At 44.8% G+C, this 16,952-nt stretch overlaps 2 protein-coding genes and 1 long non-coding RNA gene across 12 annotated transcripts in view, besides 1 other annotated feature; 2 read left to right on the top strand and 1 right to left on the bottom strand.

The window, feature by feature from the left end:
* LOC102724652 (crystallin alpha A2) overlaps nucleotides 1-1,045 on the bottom strand; it is a 65,287-nt gene extending 64,242 nt beyond the window's left edge. Inside the window, exon 1 of the mRNA NM_001314050.5 lies at nucleotides 475-1,045. The gene's annotated coding sequence lies outside the window, so the exon portion shown is untranslated. The remainder of the gene's footprint in view (nucleotides 1-474) is intronic.
* LOC102724701 (uncharacterized) overlaps nucleotides 1-16,952 on the top strand; it is a 441,766-nt gene that overhangs the window by 170,484 nt on the left and 254,330 nt on the right. The window lies entirely within an intron of this gene.
* Nucleotides 1-16,952: part of a sequence alteration artifact (region identified as an assembly artifact by the Genome Reference Consortium. This region falsely duplicates sequence located at GRCh38 chr21:43035651-43187643) that runs on past both edges of the window.
* LOC102724594 (U2 small nuclear RNA auxiliary factor 1 like 5) lies at nucleotides 1,000-15,625 on the top strand. Of its 9 annotated transcripts, XM_024452038.2 has the most exons (10): nucleotides 1,000-1,119; nucleotides 2,725-2,784; nucleotides 3,015-3,068; nucleotides 4,168-4,255; nucleotides 8,051-8,117; nucleotides 12,836-12,885; nucleotides 13,043-13,141; nucleotides 13,793-13,926; nucleotides 14,018-14,110; nucleotides 15,332-15,625. In XM_024452038.2, exons 6-10 carry the CDS (start codon nucleotides 12,856-12,858, stop codon nucleotides 15,477-15,479), a joined length of 504 nt encoding a protein of 167 aa, XP_024307806.1. In that variant the 5' UTR covers nucleotides 1,000-1,119; nucleotides 2,725-2,784; nucleotides 3,015-3,068; nucleotides 4,168-4,255; nucleotides 8,051-8,117; nucleotides 12,836-12,855; the 3' UTR covers nucleotides 15,480-15,625. The 9 variants fall into 9 exon arrangements, with proteins under 9 accessions (XP_024307806.1, NP_001307580.1, XP_024307805.1 ...); NM_001320651.2 differs by lacking the exons at nucleotides 2,725-2,784; nucleotides 3,015-3,068 and adding an exon at nucleotides 7,138-7,204; XM_024452037.2 differs by lacking the exon at nucleotides 2,725-2,784.

Raw genomic sequence — 16,952 nt, 5'->3', positions numbered from 1 at the left:
AGAGGAATAGAACCCTTCCAACGGAATGGTTCCAGCCTTGTGACATGAGGAGACTGAAAGGGTATCCCAGAGGCAGGTCACTGGCCTTCCAGCTCCACCTGTGGGTGGCCTTGGCCAGGCAACTGCAAGAGTGCAGGGCCCCGGGGAGGTCGCACCTGGCAAGCGCTGAGGGAGGGTAAAGCGGAGAGGGGTGTGAGAAGAGAAAAACAACACAGAGCGTCCGAGCTATGTGAGGCGTGCGAGGTTAATCCGGCCCGGAGAGACAGGTCTATGCGGCTTCAGCGGTCCCCACCCATGCCTGGCAATTGTTTAAAGGCACTATTGCTCCGGACCCGCTGCCTTCACCCATGAACTTCCTTTCCTGGAATTATGATATAAAGAACAACGTACAGCCAATTAATAGCTTGTTATTTTCATGTAAATTCTTGGTGAGCTATTTAAGAACTGCCCCCCTCTTAAGCTTTATAAACCCACTTGTCACTGTTGCAAATCCTATGTTCAGGGCAACTTGAAGCTATGCTCCCGGGTTGCAATCTTCAAACTTGGCCCAAATAACCTCTCTACTTATATCAAGTTTGCCTCAGCTTTTTTTTTCTTCTAGGTCGACGGTTCCCGCCCCGCAAGGGTGCAGGGAAGGGGACGCCCGCACTTCCTAGTGCTCCCTTAGCTGGGGTCGAGCTGAGCGCCCCCCACCGAGCCCCAGGCGGCTCTGTGGAGAAGCCCCTCGGCCCCGGGTTCGGTCTGCACTGCCAGCCCCCAGTCCCCGGCGCGCAGGATCCAGCAGGGCCAGCGCCGGGCGGGCGAGAAGGCGAGAGAGCTAGGGCCGGGCGGGGAGGGCACCGGCAGGGGGCGCGGGTTCCCAGGACCGAAAAGGCGGAGCCTCCCACGCGCACTACGTGCTCCCTACGCGCATGCGTCCCGCCCACGCGCAGGCAGCACCTCGCCTGACTGGGTAGCGCTGCCACGTCGGGGCGGGGAAGAGCGTCGTCGCGTCCGGGTGACGTCTCCCGCGGGCGTCGGCAGGGTCGGCGGCGTCGGCAGCAGTGTCGACGGCAGCGGCGGCGGCGGGTGGGAAATGGCGGAGTATCTGGCCTCCATCTTCGGCACCGAGAAAGACAAGTGAGTGGGAGCCCCCCGCCGGGGGTTGGGCGCGATCGGGGCGCAGGGTGGTTGAGGCGGTGGGAGGGCGACCGGGGAGGCCCAGGCGGGCCGGCGCGGCGGTGGCGGGGGAGGGGCGCGCGGCGGGAAGGAGCGGTGGCCCTTCCGGCCCCTTGCGCGCCCTCCGGAGCCGCCGCCTCGTGGGCCGCGCGGCGGAAAAATGGAGCGGGGAGAATGAATGGGGTCTCTTTTCGGGGCGCCGCGGCCGAGCTTTCTCCGGCCTTGGGGTCCGAACTGGCTGATCGCCCGACGTCCGGGCCTCCGAGTCGCCGGCTCCCGGAAGCCGCCTCGAGCCGCGCTGAAAGTTGCCTGGAGCATCCGGGCCTTTTGGACGTGGACACGTTTGTTCCAACTTTCGGCTGTGAATGTCCTGTCGAGCAAGCTCTGGTACCAGCCTCGCCAGTATTCAGTCGCTTATCTAACTTAGGGTCCTAAGCGTTGGTGTTTTATCCACTTAGCCAGCCTCTTGCCTGTTTAAGCGACCGCTGGGCCGGCAGTAAGGAGATATGACGAGAAAAAGTATGGTGGAGACTACTGGATTAACTATCTAACCACAAGAGACGTGATCCGCTCTTAACATACAGGTGCTCCTGGATTTACCATGGGATTGCGTTCCGATAAACCCATCATGAATCGAAAATGCCTTTAATACCCCGATAAACCCATCATCTAAGTTGAAAATTTGTAAGTCGGTGACTGTTCTTGAAGACACAATTCTGATATAAGGAAAAAGATGTTTTGATTTTTTCCTTAAGGTTGCATGCCTTCCCTAATCAATCGTTAGGTTAAAAGCAAAACATTTAATTTCAGCTTTAATTGCCACCTTGGCACGTACTAATTTCCAGTGAGTTGGCTGTAGTTTAGACTAAATGGAATGTTTTCAGACGTTTGAAGGATAATTCTTACTTTGAAAACCTAAAGACTCAGCATCTGGCTTAATCTACTCTTTAGTTATCTTGGCATTCTTCAGTGCCATACAAAGTTAACATGACTTTATGTTTTCAATGATAAACCCCTAAGTTTGTCATAGATGTTTTTAATGCCACTTTTTTCAAACGCTATTTAAAATGTTTCTCTTTTCCAGGATGGAGTCTATCTTGTAAAATGTCCTCTTCACACATGGTAGAATCTCCTGTGTTGTTTGGATGAGGAGGCTATATTTCTAGCAAAATTTTAAGCCAAAATCTACCAGTTATAGTCACTCCAGAAACATTTAGTGGGGGTCAACTATAGGTCAGTTTCTGGAGACTTAAACATGGGTAAAATTTGGATATTATCCTTAAGGAACTCACGGTATGATCTTGGCGAATGAATAGACCAGCTCTATCGGAACAAGAGACTCTTCTGAGTTTAGGGTGAAGAACTAACACATGTAGGATCGGGGCATCATTAATTTCTCCTTTTCATATTTGCATGTGGCATGACTTCTGTCTTGTAAAAGTCTATCTCCCTATATTTCTGCTATAAGCAACCACATTTCAATCTATTGGGCTATACTATAAAGGTCATGGTTTTAATTCAGAAAAGTTGATTATTTAATCTAGGTTACTTGTGTTTTCTTTTCAGGGAGACGTGGGGTTTTAGCTTCCAGGGAACAGGATCAACTCCTGAAAAATGAAGCTGATGGTTCATATTAACTTTAATTATTATTTAAGCTAAGAATAAAATATAGATCTCTACCAATTAAAAAATGTTTAGCTTATTATATGTTTGAAGTTATAGATGTTTTCTAGATTCAGGGATATCCTAATAGCTTGTCTGTAGTTTAATTGTGTGGAATAATTGGATATTAATTGTTGAGGCCCAGGGCTTGCCCATTCTGAGGTAGTTTTTAAATAAGCTTTCTTTATTTTTAGATGACTTCCTAAAGATATGCTATTGTCTAATCAAGTTAAATAATCTCAAGACCTGTAAGTTTGCAAATATATATAATCACTTTCCTCTCCTGATAAATTTGGACTTTCCCATCTTTATTGCTACCTGATAATAAATCAGTGGCTAGTCAGTCTTCATGGTCCATCAGATTTCACTGAGGTTGAGGCCCTTCAATCTTAACTCTGGATTGACTGTTTAAAACATAATGGCACTTGGTTAAAAAAAAATTGAATTTTGAACAAAGTCTGTCTGGTAAGATGTCCTAATTCATCAGAGATCGGCTTCCCTCCCTGACATTGCTGGCACACAGGCATGATTGCTGGTTCCATTGGATATGGATCTGGATTGTCAGCGTATTTGAACAGTATTAAGGGAGGGTTTTGCAGTAGAGACAGAAGGTGACGTAAGGTGGTTCCTAAGGTGGGTTTGGTCAGTCCCCTAATAGTTTGTTTTCAGTGTATTGAGACCAGGAGAATTGATTTACTTCAGACCTATTTTTTGAAACTCCCTGTTGGTCTGGTGTCATGCGTTTAGAGAGACTCTGAACTTCGTTTTCTGTTTTCCTTAGATAATGATAGCACTTCATGAGCACCATATGTGAAGCACACATACGTTCTGTCTGACTCTCAGAACAGTGCCACATTGGCATTGTCATCATTTACAGATGACATCTGAGAGCTAGGGTGACTTGCCCAAGCCCAAGCAGCTGGTAGCAGAGTTGGGATCTTAACCCTCACCACACCGGTCTTTTCAAGAGAGAACTTGGTCGTGGAGAACTGGAGAACAGATACTGCCTAAGTTACATTTAGTTTTAGACTAATTTAATACTCCATTTAAGAAACAAACAGAACAGCTGTGCAGTTAGGAAAGTGGAGGGGATTTGAATGAGGAGGAGGCGGGTTAGAGTTAGAACCGTCTTTGCTGAACAAGTAGTGTGTTTGCAGAAAGGGAAGTTGAAGTTACGTTGTCCTAAAATACAGCAAGGAAGAGGAGGTGCTTAATACCACGGAAAAAAGTCTGTGTCATGTTTCTGTGAGGTTAAAAGTAATTTGATAGTGTATGTCATGCTGCTGACATATTCCATGTGTTTGATATCTTCCCAGCAAAATAATCAGCTCTCATTTTCCCTTACAGAGTCAACTGTTCATTTTATTTCAAAATTGGAGCATGTCGTCATGGAGACAGGTGCTCTCGGTTGCACAATAAACCGACGTTTAGCCAGGTTTGTTTGCCTTTTTTTCATGTAAATTATAAAAACTTCATGTTCTTTTCAAAGACAGTTAATTTCTACATATTAAGCAAGTCATTTTTTCTCTCGTAGTTGTATTTTCCATTTGTGTTCATAAGTGTGTTCTTTTATTTAAATAATAGTGAGGCAGGTGATCGACTTCCAGTGGAAGGTCTGAGACCACCACTCCTTGTTTTTATCATTAGAGAAACTTTAAAAATCAGTTTTTGATGTTTGTGTGTTGGCTGTGCCTGATATTTGCTGCCCTGCCATCTTCCCTACCCCCTCTGATAGACATGGGTCCAGAGGGGGTGGCCGTGCCAGCCTTGGGTTAGCCTCCTCCAGGCACCAGTGGACACGGAGTGGGCTTTCTGCTCTTTGCTGTCTCCAGACAGTAGAGGTGATGGAGCCATCTTCCAAGTTAGCGTGATTGTCACCAGGCCCATCATGCTGCTCGAGCTTCTCTGGCTGCGTCCTCACTTTCACATCCCTAGCTGAGGAAACAGCGAGTCGCATCACGTCATGGAAACATGAAAAATTAAGCTGAAAGGTAGAAAATGGGCCGTAAATTGCTCTTAGCGGGTCTGTTTGGTTAATTGAGGAGTGCCTGTTATCTTGGGCTTAGATCCGCTCTGAGTTCAGTTCAATCAAAAGTTGTGAGTTTTGATAGTTTTATTTTTGGTTAGTTGAAGAAAAGGCAAAGGTTGGTACACTATAAAGGATCACTTACGGATTAAAGGGAGAAGGCACCTCTAATCGGAGCAGAAAACTTGTGCCCACGTTGATGAGAACATTTGAAATTTGAAAATCGATGCCCAAGTCTTTCCAGATGGAGGGCTGGGGAACTCCTTCCAACCCACCCTTGAAGTCTAAATGTGCAGCCTCTGAGCTGTTGAGTAGCTATTATGCGTGGTCCCTGGGAGCTGCCAGGCTCTGCCTTTGAGCTCACATCTGTCTGTATACGTTTTCCTGTAAGCATTTAAGAAAATCTACCACTTTGTGTAAGTGAGCTGGGAGAAGGAAACATGGGTTTTTTCCGGTTGAAGCCCATGGACGACCCCACAGCACACAGTGTTTTTAGAAGGGAAGAGGATGATGGCTTTTCCCTCCATTATGCTAATTACCAAGTGGTTAGTATAATAGCAGTCTGTCTTTTGATAGCTCTGAACATGAGTTTCTTTTTACAAATTTCAAAATCTTGGAGAACTAGCTTTACATTTTCTGTGTATTGCAATTGTTTTTTCTTTAATGTTTTGATTTATGAACCGAATCTCCCCTAACTAAACCAGTGGCCATGGATTGTGGTATAACCAAGCATCTTAAGTGACCACCCAGTTCTTTGATTTTGGGGGGTGTCCCAAGTGTTGGGCTGAGAGAAATCAACTGTTCCCTATTCTAAAAGTTTTCTTTAATCTGGCTGGAGGCACTTTCTTTATGTTTTTCTGGATCATAGATTACCTGAGAATGTGAAATGTGAAGTTAATTTAGGCATTCCAGGTCAGTGCTGGGGAGAGCCCATTGGAGCTCGATGGGGTCAGTAGTATGTGTCAGCTTAAGCATCCTAGTTTGATGCGTGGGTTTGTTTTGGTTGGTTTTAGGCAATCCTAGCCACCCTTGGCTTTCCCATTAGACTGCATTGCCTCTTTACGTTAAGCTTCCTTCATTAAATAGCCACTGCCAGAATACCTGAGTGAGACCAACTGAATTTTACTGTTGAATAATTGGGCTCAGTTTAGCTTTTCATCAGGGTTGTCATGGTACGGTCATTTCAGTTCAAAGCTGAGTCAAGTCAGCTTTGGGAAGCCTCCCAGGCCTGAGTTCAGTTGACTCAGGGCTGTACTTGGCGGCTTATGGAAGAAACGGGGCCCTGATGCAGGTCTGAGTGGTTCAGTGTGGACAGTTTGTCAGACCTCCCTCTTAGGTGGGGTGGGCTTCCCAGCTGCACACCTTTGACTGAGGAACTCTTCATACAACCACTCCCCTTTAAACAGAGCTAGAAATGGAGCTGGCTGGTTTTATAAAACCACCACTTACAAAACTGCTTCACGTGGATATTGTTGAGACTAAACATTTATTTTTCTAAATCATGCGAGTGATTGCTTTAGCTTGTAAATCTCTAGCATAATTCAGGGTGGGTTTCTTTATAAGCTGCTTACAGTGATATGGACGTTAAGATTCATGTAATATATTAGCCTACTAACTTAAACATGGTTTGTTTTTTCAGACAACTTGATTTTAAGAAGAACGGTACAGTGTAAGGTTTCAAGTCTGCCTGATCCAGTTTAAAGCACAAGGGCTAAAAGGATTTTTTTTCCTTAAAAGAAGGATCGGAAAAGAGCAAATGTTTTAAGCTATTGTATTATGTAAACAGAGATCCCACCAAGAAAGTGTAAATCAGAGCCGGGTGTCCATGACAGTTGACAGACCTGTTTGGTGTGCCTGTTTTGCTAGGAGACCAGAGAACTTGATGTACTGCAGACAGCTGAGTTACGCATTTGGTTTTGAAAAATTATCTTGTGTGAGGAATATGATTATAACGTGAATTTTTCCACATCTTGGTGTCTGCTAGCTTGAAGTACAAGAAAATATTAGTATTCTACTATTTATCTTGCATTAAAACACTTTAACATTGAAAACGTGGGACTAATCAAAACAATACAGTTTCTTCTTGGTTGCTGGCTGACTTGACCCAAGTCACTGCTCAAACTCTGTTTTCATAATATGATGGTTTTGGTGTACTCTTCAGAAGACAAATGTCTGACTTGCGGGAAAAAAACAAACGTTTAGCCATTTGCAAACAAATTGTCTCTTTGCAATTGTCTAATATATGCACAGCAGCCAGTAGAATTCCCCTTTTTATTTTTTTTTCCCCGCAGACCATCTTGATTCAAAACATCTATCGTAATCCCCAAAACAGTGCACAGACGGCTGACGGCTCACACTGTAAGTCCCACAGTTGGAGAAATTTTTTTAAAACAATGGTGTTAAAGAGCCCACTCTTAATTGAGACAAATAATGTTGGCTTCTGAGCTGCTGACATAGAGCTGTTGCAAACAGGACAAGGTGCTGGAACTCCTTGGCGCACACAGCAAGAACTTGATACTTGGCCACGTTCAGGAGGCTTATCCCTTCTAGGGAGGGTCACTGGCCCGGCCACCTCCATTGATTGACATTTGTCATGAGAGCAGGTCCGTCCATGTGAAACGGATTTCAACATTTTGAGCCATTCATTGGTCTTTACAGTGACTGAACCCCTGGCCTTTATTAAGTTCTTTGTGTAAAATTAAAACTCTTAGGAATATTAAGGAATCAATAAGGTAAGTTGCCCAGTAAGTGTGGGTTTTATTTCACCATTATAATTTTTCCTCCAGGAAGTGGAGATTTCATGATATGTAACAATTGTATTTCTCTAATACAGTAATTTTTTCCATCAGTTTATGTAAGCATTATTCTTTCCGAGTTCATTAAAAATTTTCTGCCACATCTAAGAACATTTTGGTGCTAGCCTGGCAAACTATTTGTGCTTTTACCTGAATTGGAATTTTGAAAAGGAGAGTTTTCACGTTCTGTAAGCAGAAGTACAAGATGGGCATATCATGAGACCTCCGTTACACCGCAGTGTTAGGGATTCAAGGCAGCCGCCAACTGAGAAAACGCCTCTGCTTCTCCAGAAAATAACTTGCTCTCTTTTCAGCACTGAATCTCAACTGAAGCACTTGCCAGAGGCAGCCGGTTAAGTGTTTACCTTTAATTTTCCATAATATAAAGTTGTTGCGTTTTGTATTTCAGACCATTGCCCTCTTGAACATTTACCGTAACCCTCAAAACTCTTCCCAGTCTGCTGACGGTTTGCGCTGTAAGTTCATACAAGTTCCTTCCCCGGTTCCCTGGGCTTGCGTGTCAGAGCTCAGTGTCCACTCCATCTGGTCTGCCGTGCTAGTGTCAAGGACCGCGTTTCACTAGAGGTGGCAAGGAGCTTTCGTCCCACTGACCCCATGGAAACCTCTTTTGGAGATTTGAACTCCCACCGTGTGTTAAAAGGGAAAAAGTAACTGGAAAGGGTGCCCTTTAAAACAGTCTAGAGCTGGGCCGGGCGCGGTGGCTCACGCCTGTAATCCCAGCACTTTGGGAGGCCGAGGCGGGTGGATCATGAGGTCAGGAGTTCAAGACCAATCTGGCCAACATGGTGAAACCCCATCTCTACTAAAGATACAAAAATTAGCTGGGCGTGGTGGCAGATGCCTGCAATCCCAGCTTCTAGGGAGGCTGAGGCAGAGAATCGCTTGAACCCGGGAGGCGGAGGTTGCAGTGAACTGAGATCGTGCCGCTGCACTCCAGCCTGGGCGACAGAGTGAGACTCCGTCTCCAAAAAAAAAAAAAAAAAAAAAAAACCAGTCTGGAGCTGCTGCTGCCCCTTCTTCCTTTACTTTGGCCGTCATCCTAGAGGGAATGTACTGGAATTAAACGTCGAGTCATATTCTTCCCTCTTAGAGCAACAAAATTTGAATGTTTCTCTCACTTTCTGGAATTTTTAAAAAGCAAACTTTTTAAGTTATTTTTTCAGATTTTATTTCTCATTAGCCTTTTTTCCTTGAACTCCATTTTGGAGTGCACCCTGTAGTTGTAAGAGCATTGTGCTGAGAGCGTTCCCCAAATGAGGGTCTGCAGCTTGCACTGACCCCTGAGTTCCTCACCCACCAGCCCCGTGCCGACCCGTCTAACCCGTGTGGGGGTGCTCCACTCAAATAGGCCCTTGGCAGAAAAGATTGTCCGTTCTGTCCACACACTGCCTGGATACAGTCTCCAGCTCTAGGAGATGGAATTGGTTTGCTCCATTTAGAAATAGATCAAAACTGGGCATTCAGTAGATGGTACCAATATCTTCCTGTACTGGGAAATACTAAATTTAGATTGTGAATATTTACCTAATGATAATTTTTAGAGAAGGAGATATCATAGATGAGTATGATTGGGAAGTTCAGAAAACTAAAATTTGATTTTTACAGCCATCCAACTATAGAATCATTAGAATTTAGTCATTTATGGATAAATTAAAATGAACACCTGGACTCTTGTTAAAATCAGAAAGTCCAAACCAAAGATAGGCACTTCCCATTCACCATTCTGTTTTAAAGCAGTAAAAATTGAGGTGCCCTTGGATATCCACAAGCCTAAATTGAGTACACCCTTGAACCAGAGCCCCTCAGTTAATGGGGTGACCGACATGGGGTAGCTGATCCCAGGGGGCATTCCCCTCTCGAGCTGGCCCTGCACTGGGTGGCCTGGGGATTGTGCTTCCTTGCACAGTGGTGCACATTTCTATGTGTGGATGAGATTTTCTTGTCAACTTTTCCTGCCAAGACACTAAATGCTTTTCAGTGCTAATACTGACCTGATAGTAGAGATTTCTTTCCCTGAGTCGGATGGTAGCAGGATTTACTTGGTAACCCTTGGTTTAAAATACCTGTTTTTTTGTTTGTTTGTTTTCTTTTGTTTTTTAAGGAAATAAGATCAATAGGCGGAGGGAAATTGTTTCTATATGCACTTATTAAATAATTTTTGTTAACAACCCTGCCCTGGGATAAAAGTGAATGGAAGTACATGACTGAGTAACAGTAATTAATTCTTTGCCCTGATCGTTTATTTGGGGACTGTATATGCTTTCTTGACTGACAATAGAATGTTGTATTAGTTTTCATTGTGTCTTTATTTGCAGTTCACAGCACTTTTGTTTTCCATATGCTACAAACTAAAAGTTTAGCAATTACGTTATATTCCAATTCTGGAGTCCAGATTGTACAAATTAGATGAAATTCTAATTCGTCATTTTAGGAAGAAATCAATTACCTAAAATTACTGGCTCTTTTCAACATACCCTTTAGTATGTAAAAAAATAAGCTTCAAATGCGTGGGTTAAAGTTAACTATCAATCCCAGTTTAAGAATGATATTTCTGTAAGAAAACTGCTTTATTTTCCAAGTTGTAGTATTTAACATAGGCTGAGTCACAAATAAGTTTTTAATTGTATCTTAATGCAGTTGTCTCTGCCTTTCAAGTCACTTTGATTGAAACATTTTAAGCAGAACAAATATAGCCAATAATTTAAAATAATCACCCCAAAACCATTTCTCAAACCTGCTAAAACTTTGAGCATGTGAATAATTTTCTCCTCTTCACATTCTTCTTATGTGGGAAGGAAGTGAATTTGAAATATTAAAATCTGCCCTTTGGAATAGGCTACTTTGGCCGTTTATAACTTGATTTCTACTCGGGGAGGAAGGTACATTCCCAATAGCTTTCCAATTGGGATATCCTGTGATATGATTGGCAGGCTGTCCGAGTAGTTACACTTAATAAAATTTGGGTTCGAAAGCAGATTCCTGGAAGTTCAAAAATAATTAAAACAGCCCCGGATAGGTTAGAAAGTGAACTTAAATCATTCTCAGAATTAGAAAATAAGAAGTTATTTTTTATCTTCAAAGATAAAAAGGGGGCCGGGCACGGTGGCTCACACCTGTAATCCCAGCACTTTGGAAAGCCGAGGCAAGTGGATCACGAGGTCGAGAGATTGAGACCATCCTGGCCAACATGGTGGAACCCCGTCTCTACTAAAACTACAAAAATTAGCCAAGATCACGCCATTGCACTCCAGCCTGGAGACAGTGAGACGCTGTCTCAAAAAAAAAAAAAAAAAAAGATAAAAAGAGTTTTGAGCAAGCTCAAAGACCCGTGTGCCAGCAGTCAGATGCCCACGTTGGGTGCACAGGCTAAGGCAGCCGGCCCAATCTGGAAACCAGTCAGGCTTTTGCCAGCCCCTAATCTAGCTGATTGGAACATGTTTGTTGATACACCAGCTCTGTGATTTCTCAGGTTTAGAGAACTCTAGAATTTGATAGAGTGGGCCGGGGGCAGTGGCTCATGCCTGTAATCTCAGCACTTTGGGAGGCTGAGGTAAGCAGATCACGTGAGGTCAGGAGGTTGAGACCAGCCTGGCCAACATGGTGAAACCCCGTCTCTACTAAAAATACAAAAATTAGCCAGGCATGGTGGTGCGCGCCTGTAGTCCCACCTACTTGGGAGGCTGAGGAAGGAGAATTGCTTGAACCTAGGAAGTGGAGGTTGCAGTGAGCCAAGATCACGCCACTGCACTCCAGCCTGGAGTGGACAGAGACTCCATCTCAAAAGAAAAAAAAATTAATTAAATTTGATAGAATGATGATGGGGATAGAGTGTAAATTTGCCAAATTTACCCACGCAACAGACATGATTTTACCTAATACATGTGAATTATGAAGAATAAACTGATGAAAATAGTTTGGGAATATAAAACTTAAGAATACTTGCGCCGGGCACGGTGGCTCACACCTGTAATCCCAGCACTTTGGGAGGCCGAGGCAGGTGGATCACGAGGTCAGGAGTTCAAGACTAGCCTGGCCAAGATGGTGAAACCCCATCTCTATTAAAAATACAAAAATTAGCCGGGCGTGGTTGTGGGCGCCTGTAATCCCAGCTACTCAGGAGGCTGAGGCAGAGAATCGCATGAGCCCAGGAAGCGGAGGTTGCAGTGAGCCGAGATTGCGCCACCGCACTCCAGCCTGGGCGACAGAGTGAGACTCCGTCTCAAAAAAAAGAAAAAAAAAAGAATGCTTTCATCAGCAAAACATTGTAACATTCCCTTTACTTGAGGGCGTCCACAATACCGTAAGGTTGCGTGAACTGTCCTACTGAATCTTCATGGTTGCTTGGATTTTAATCACATCAGAAGAATTTGAGAGCATACCATGGCTGGCAGTCCATAAAAGACTAGTTAGGAACATCAGCTTTTAATCATCGACCCTGCTTTCAGGTTTCATTTTAAACTTATAGAAGAGGGGAAGACATCAGTGTGCTTATTTGGCCTTTACTCTAAATCTTAAAAGGAAGAAAATTTTAATATTTCTTAGTTTGAGCCCAGGTGCGGTGTCTCACGCCTGTAATCACAGCACTTTGGGAGGCCAAGGCAGGCGGATCACTTGAGGTCAGGAGTTCAAGACCAGCCTGCCAACGTGGTGAAACCCTGTCTGTACTAAAAATTAAAAAAAAAAAAAAAAATTAGCCGGGCGTGGTGGCAGTCGCCTGTAGTCCCAGCAACTCCAGAGGCTGAGACAGGAGAATCGCTTGAACCCCAGAGGTGGAGGTTGCAGTGAGCTGAGATGGTGCCACTGCACTCCAGCCTGGGCGACAGAGCCAGACTGCATCTTGTGGGTGTAAAAAAAAAATTTGTAGTTTGAGAGTCAACTTTTTCCTCACAGTTTCTGAAAATGTGGCCCTTTTGATGCTGATTAAAGCTGGTTGTGATTTTAACACCTTAGTAGCCAGAATCGAGACTGTCATGGGGACATTTAAAATCTCACCACACTTGACACCATTCACAAGTAGCCATGTGGCTCAGTCTCCTGAGTGCTCCTGCAGAGTGCAGCTCTGCCAGGCTTTTCTCTAGATAATCTCGTGTGTGTTACTGTAGCAGTTTGAGTTTAAACACAAGAGTTCACTCGGTTAACATGTTCTAACCAGCAAGATTTCTGTTGTTTGCAGGTGCCGTGAGCGATGTGGAGATGCAGGAACACTATGATGAGTTTTTTGAGGTGAGAGAACTGAACTCTGTGACTGATAGACCTGTTGATCTTCTGTATCTGTTTGGAAGGATTTAAAATGTTTCTCTGCTAATAAACATACATGAGTTATATCTAATGACACTTTGTAGTGTATAACGAGTCTTAAACCACTGTGGTCTCCCTTCAGGAGGTTTTTACAGAAATGGAGGAGAAGTATGGGGAAGTAGAGGAGATGAACGTCTGTGACAACCTGGGAGACCACCTGGTGGGGAACGTGTACGTCAAGGTAGGAGCCAGGGCGAGACGGCGGCGTGGCCGCTTAGTGTGCCGGGGCCAAGGCCAACAGGCGAAAGCGAGACAGTGGTGCAGCCGCTTAGTGTGCCGGGGCCAAGGCCGACAGAGGATGGGGTGCCTGTCGCCATGCACCTTGAGATCCTGGATGCTCAGGCGCACAGCAGGGCTCAGGTGCACTGGCTCGGCGCCTACCGGCTGCGTCATATGTGGCGGTGGCCAGCCCACACGTGCGCCCAGCCAGCAGAACTGAAGGACGGACCGTACACCACAGCCATCGTTATTTCAGTGTAGAATATTTAGTACCTGTTGGTTTAGAAGCTGTGTGGACTAAGGAAAAGTTAGGTTTACTCACATGTTTGGTTTCTTTTTTCTTTTTTAGTGAATAAAACTTTATTTGCCTACACAGCCATATTTGCTCCTTTAACCAGTTGAATTTGAAAAATGAAGGCAACATTTGGCAAAATCTTGGACTATCTTGAAGTTAATCTCATTGAAAATAAAGGATTTTTCAATTATCCTGTAATACTATTCCACCTTACTATACCTGAGTGTGTATATCTCTCTCTGATACATACTTGGATTGGTAATTGAGAAAGTCTTATTAAAGCGTGGATGGCAAGCACTTCTGTTTTTGTCTTTTCAGTTTCGCCGTGAGGAAGATGCGGAAAAGGCTGTGATTGACTTGAATAACCGTTGGTTTAATGGACAGCCGATCCACGCCGAGCTGTCACCCGTGACGGACTTCAGAGAAGCCTGCTGCCGTCAGTATGAGATGGGGTGAGTGAGGAGTGGCCAGTGACGTGACTGAGCACAGTTCGGGGCCGTGTGCACACGAGGTAGTAAATGTCTCCTTCCAACCCACCCACAGAGAATGCACACGAGGCGGCTTCTGCAACTTCATGCATTTGAAGCCCATTTCCAGAGAGCTGCGGCGGGAGCTGTATGGCCGCCGTCGCAAGAAGTGAGTATTCCTGTGCCCGTTGTTAAGCTCAGTGGCTTCTTTCTCCCCTCACAACCCTCCCCCTTCCAAAAAAAAAATTTTGGCATAGGTGTTGTTTCTGTTTTTTAAAAGGCAGTGCTTAGAACATAGTACATATTTTTAAATATCCAAATGTCCTCTTTGGAGAAGAATATTCACCTGCACACAGGTAACTTCATTATCCAACTTCTCAAGTAGAGATCAGATCTTAGTAATCAAGCAAGAGGGCGGTTAGCTGGGCAGCCGCGGACATGAGGCTCGTGGTGAAAGTGGGCATGCAGTTTATTCTCCCAGATATTACGAAGAAGAAGAATAGATGTTGTAACCTCCTTTAGATCAGGGATGGCTTCCCTGGGACACATTGGAAGAAGAATTGTCTTGGGTCACAAATAAAATACACTAATGATAGCTGATAACTTTTTTTTTAATTGCAAAAAAAATCTCATAATGTTTTAAGCAAGTTGATGAATTTGTGTTGGGCTGCAGGTTGGACAAGCTTTTGCTTTACATATTTCACATGTCCACTGGGGTTTCTTTTGGTTTTGCTTGTTGGTTTTAGGGCATTTCATTATGTCTTGGGATCGCTGGCATCCTCCCTTCGGGACACTGGCAGAATCAGGCCCAGCGGTCACATCTCTCTGATCCTACATTTAAATGTACGACAGGTCACAGAGCAGAGAAAATCAAGACGTCAGAATCGAACCGATTGAGTTCTGAGTCTGGAGAGGTTCTCATCCCTCTTCTGTTAAACATGGACTAGTAAATAGATGGGTGGCGATTGTTTTATTGTCAGCATTCAAGAAGCATAAGAGAAAAACAGGCCTGCTCTCCCCAGCCCAAAAACCTGATGGACACAGTAGCTATGAGCGCCTGAAGCGTGGGGTCAGTGAGGGTTGAAGATGGTATGTGTCCAGCTCATTTTGATTATGATTTCCTGTGACCATTTGAGTTGGTTCTAGAAGAAGACAGAAGATGCAAGGTATTACACCTGTTCACTTCTAAGTTGCACATTTTTTTCTCCTGAAACTTTTCACACCTGAAATCAGGGTGTGTCTCAGTCACGGCGTGCAGTCTCTTCAGCAGTGTTTTTCCTTATCAGTGCCGTTGGCTTGAGGAGCTGCGCGTGTTGAGAGAGTGGGTGTGGTTCTGTGCTGCGTGCCGTGGTTTGGATGGCACGGTTTTCTTTATTTTCCTTGGTTGCAGGCATAGATCAAGATCCCGATCCCGGGAGCGTCGTTCTCGGTCTAGAGACCGTGGTCGTGGCGGTGGCGGTGGCGGTGGTGGAGGTGGCGGCGGACGGGAGCGTGACAGGAGGCGGTCGAGAGATCGTGAAAGATCTGGGCGATTCTGAGCCATGCCATTTTTACCTTATGTCTGCTAGAAAGTGTTGTAGTTGATTGACCAAACCAGTTCATAAGGGGAATTTTTTTTAAAAAACAACAAAAAAAAAAACATACAAAGATGGGTTTCTGAATAAAATTTGTAGTGATAACAGTATTCTTGGTGTAACTTATTTCTTGTGGAAGTTCTTTAAATTTCTTTTTCTTTATAAATCTGCTAGTCATCTTGGAGGTAAAGATTAATATCCATCCACCACTTTGAGTATAAATGAAATAATATTTTTTATCTTAGGGCATGAAATAAAACACATACCAGGTGAGATCTACATGCTAAATAATCCGGAATTTCTCGAGGCTGTCATGGAAAGCCTTTTGGGGTTTCTTTTCTAACTGGTTAGTGAAGAAGTGCTTAGCTATAATCAGTAGACACGCTGTAGACTGCACTGATGTTGGGAAGAAGGCTGATCTGTGGTGAGACACAGTGGGTGGGCCCGACCCATGTTACCTTCTCGTTCCTGCGAGTTTGTGTCAAGAACCCCATGTGTTCGTGGGAGGGAGCGTGGATGCTCACACGGCACACTGAGGGCCAGTAGTCCGTGTCCGTGTTTCCTTATGCCAATGGCTGTGGGAGACACAGAAGCCTGCGGTGCAGATCCGCCTTTAGACACTCTGGTATTACTTTCCCCAAGCTACTCGGGTGGCGCGTGCTGGTGGTGTGACTATGGTGACAGCCAGCTGACCGGTCTGGGGCACCTGCCACAAGTCAGTGCTGGGGGCTGAGCATTTCATTCCTAAGACCAAAACGTTCCAAGTGAGGCCATCCCAAACCATGCCCACGTGTCCACATACCTCATCCTCAAAAACCTCCTGGCTCTAGGTGGGAGTCACCCAGGCTCTCCTGCCCTGCTCTGCTCCTTGTGGGGGCTCAGTGACAGACCCTGCTGGTGGAGTAGGGGAGTGGCTGGGCCCTAACTACACACCCAGTGAAGATTGGCAGGACATACTACTTGACCATCTCATGAAAGCCCATTTGTATGTGATGAAGTTCAAGAAGGTGATGGTGTCGATTCACCTGGGAGGCTGAAGTGAGCTATGATCATGCCACTGCACTCCAGCCTGGGCAACACAGTGAGACCTTGTCTCTTAGAAAAAAATAGGTTTGTATACTATAGTAGTGGGCAGATAATTTTAGATGGGTTGGTGGCAGTGTTTGGCGATGTGGGTGGTGGGCAGAAATTTTAGATGGGTTAGTGGCAGTGTTTGGTGATGTGGGTGGTGGGCAAATGGTAATTTTAGATGGGTTAGTGGCAGTGTTTGGTGATGTGGGTGGTGGGCAAATGGTAATTTTAGATGGGTTAGTGGCAGTGTTTGGCGATGTGGGCCGTTTCGTTTATGTCCTTATACTCGACATGTTTCCAAAAAAAGTACAAACTTTTTTTTTCTTTTACCTTAACTTTGGTCAGTGATGGCCATTTATTAATTTC

The sequence above is a fragment of the Homo sapiens genome, chromosome 21 (assembly GCF_000001405.40).
Source record: "Homo sapiens chromosome 21, GRCh38.p14 Primary Assembly".
Classification (NCBI taxonomy): Eukaryota; Metazoa; Chordata; class Mammalia; order Primates; family Hominidae; genus Homo; species Homo sapiens.
The sequence above is the reverse complement of the archived record's forward strand: the minus strand, read 5'-3'. Positions and strand labels throughout refer to the sequence as shown.

Bases quoted from the DNA above. Each gene is read 5' to 3' on its own strand.
- LOC102724594 (NM_001320646.2), top strand. From the start codon at position 1,076: ATGGCGGAGTATCTGGCCTCCATCTTCGGCACCGAGAAAGACAA. The intron at 8,118-12,835 runs GTAAGTTCATAC...TGTTGTTTGCAG, and splicing joins GTCTGCTGACGGTTTGCGCT to GTGCCGTGAGCGATGTGGAG. The intron at 12,886-13,042 runs GTGAGAGAACTG...GTCTCCCTTCAG, and splicing joins ACTATGATGAGTTTTTTGAG to GAGGTTTTTACAGAAATGGA.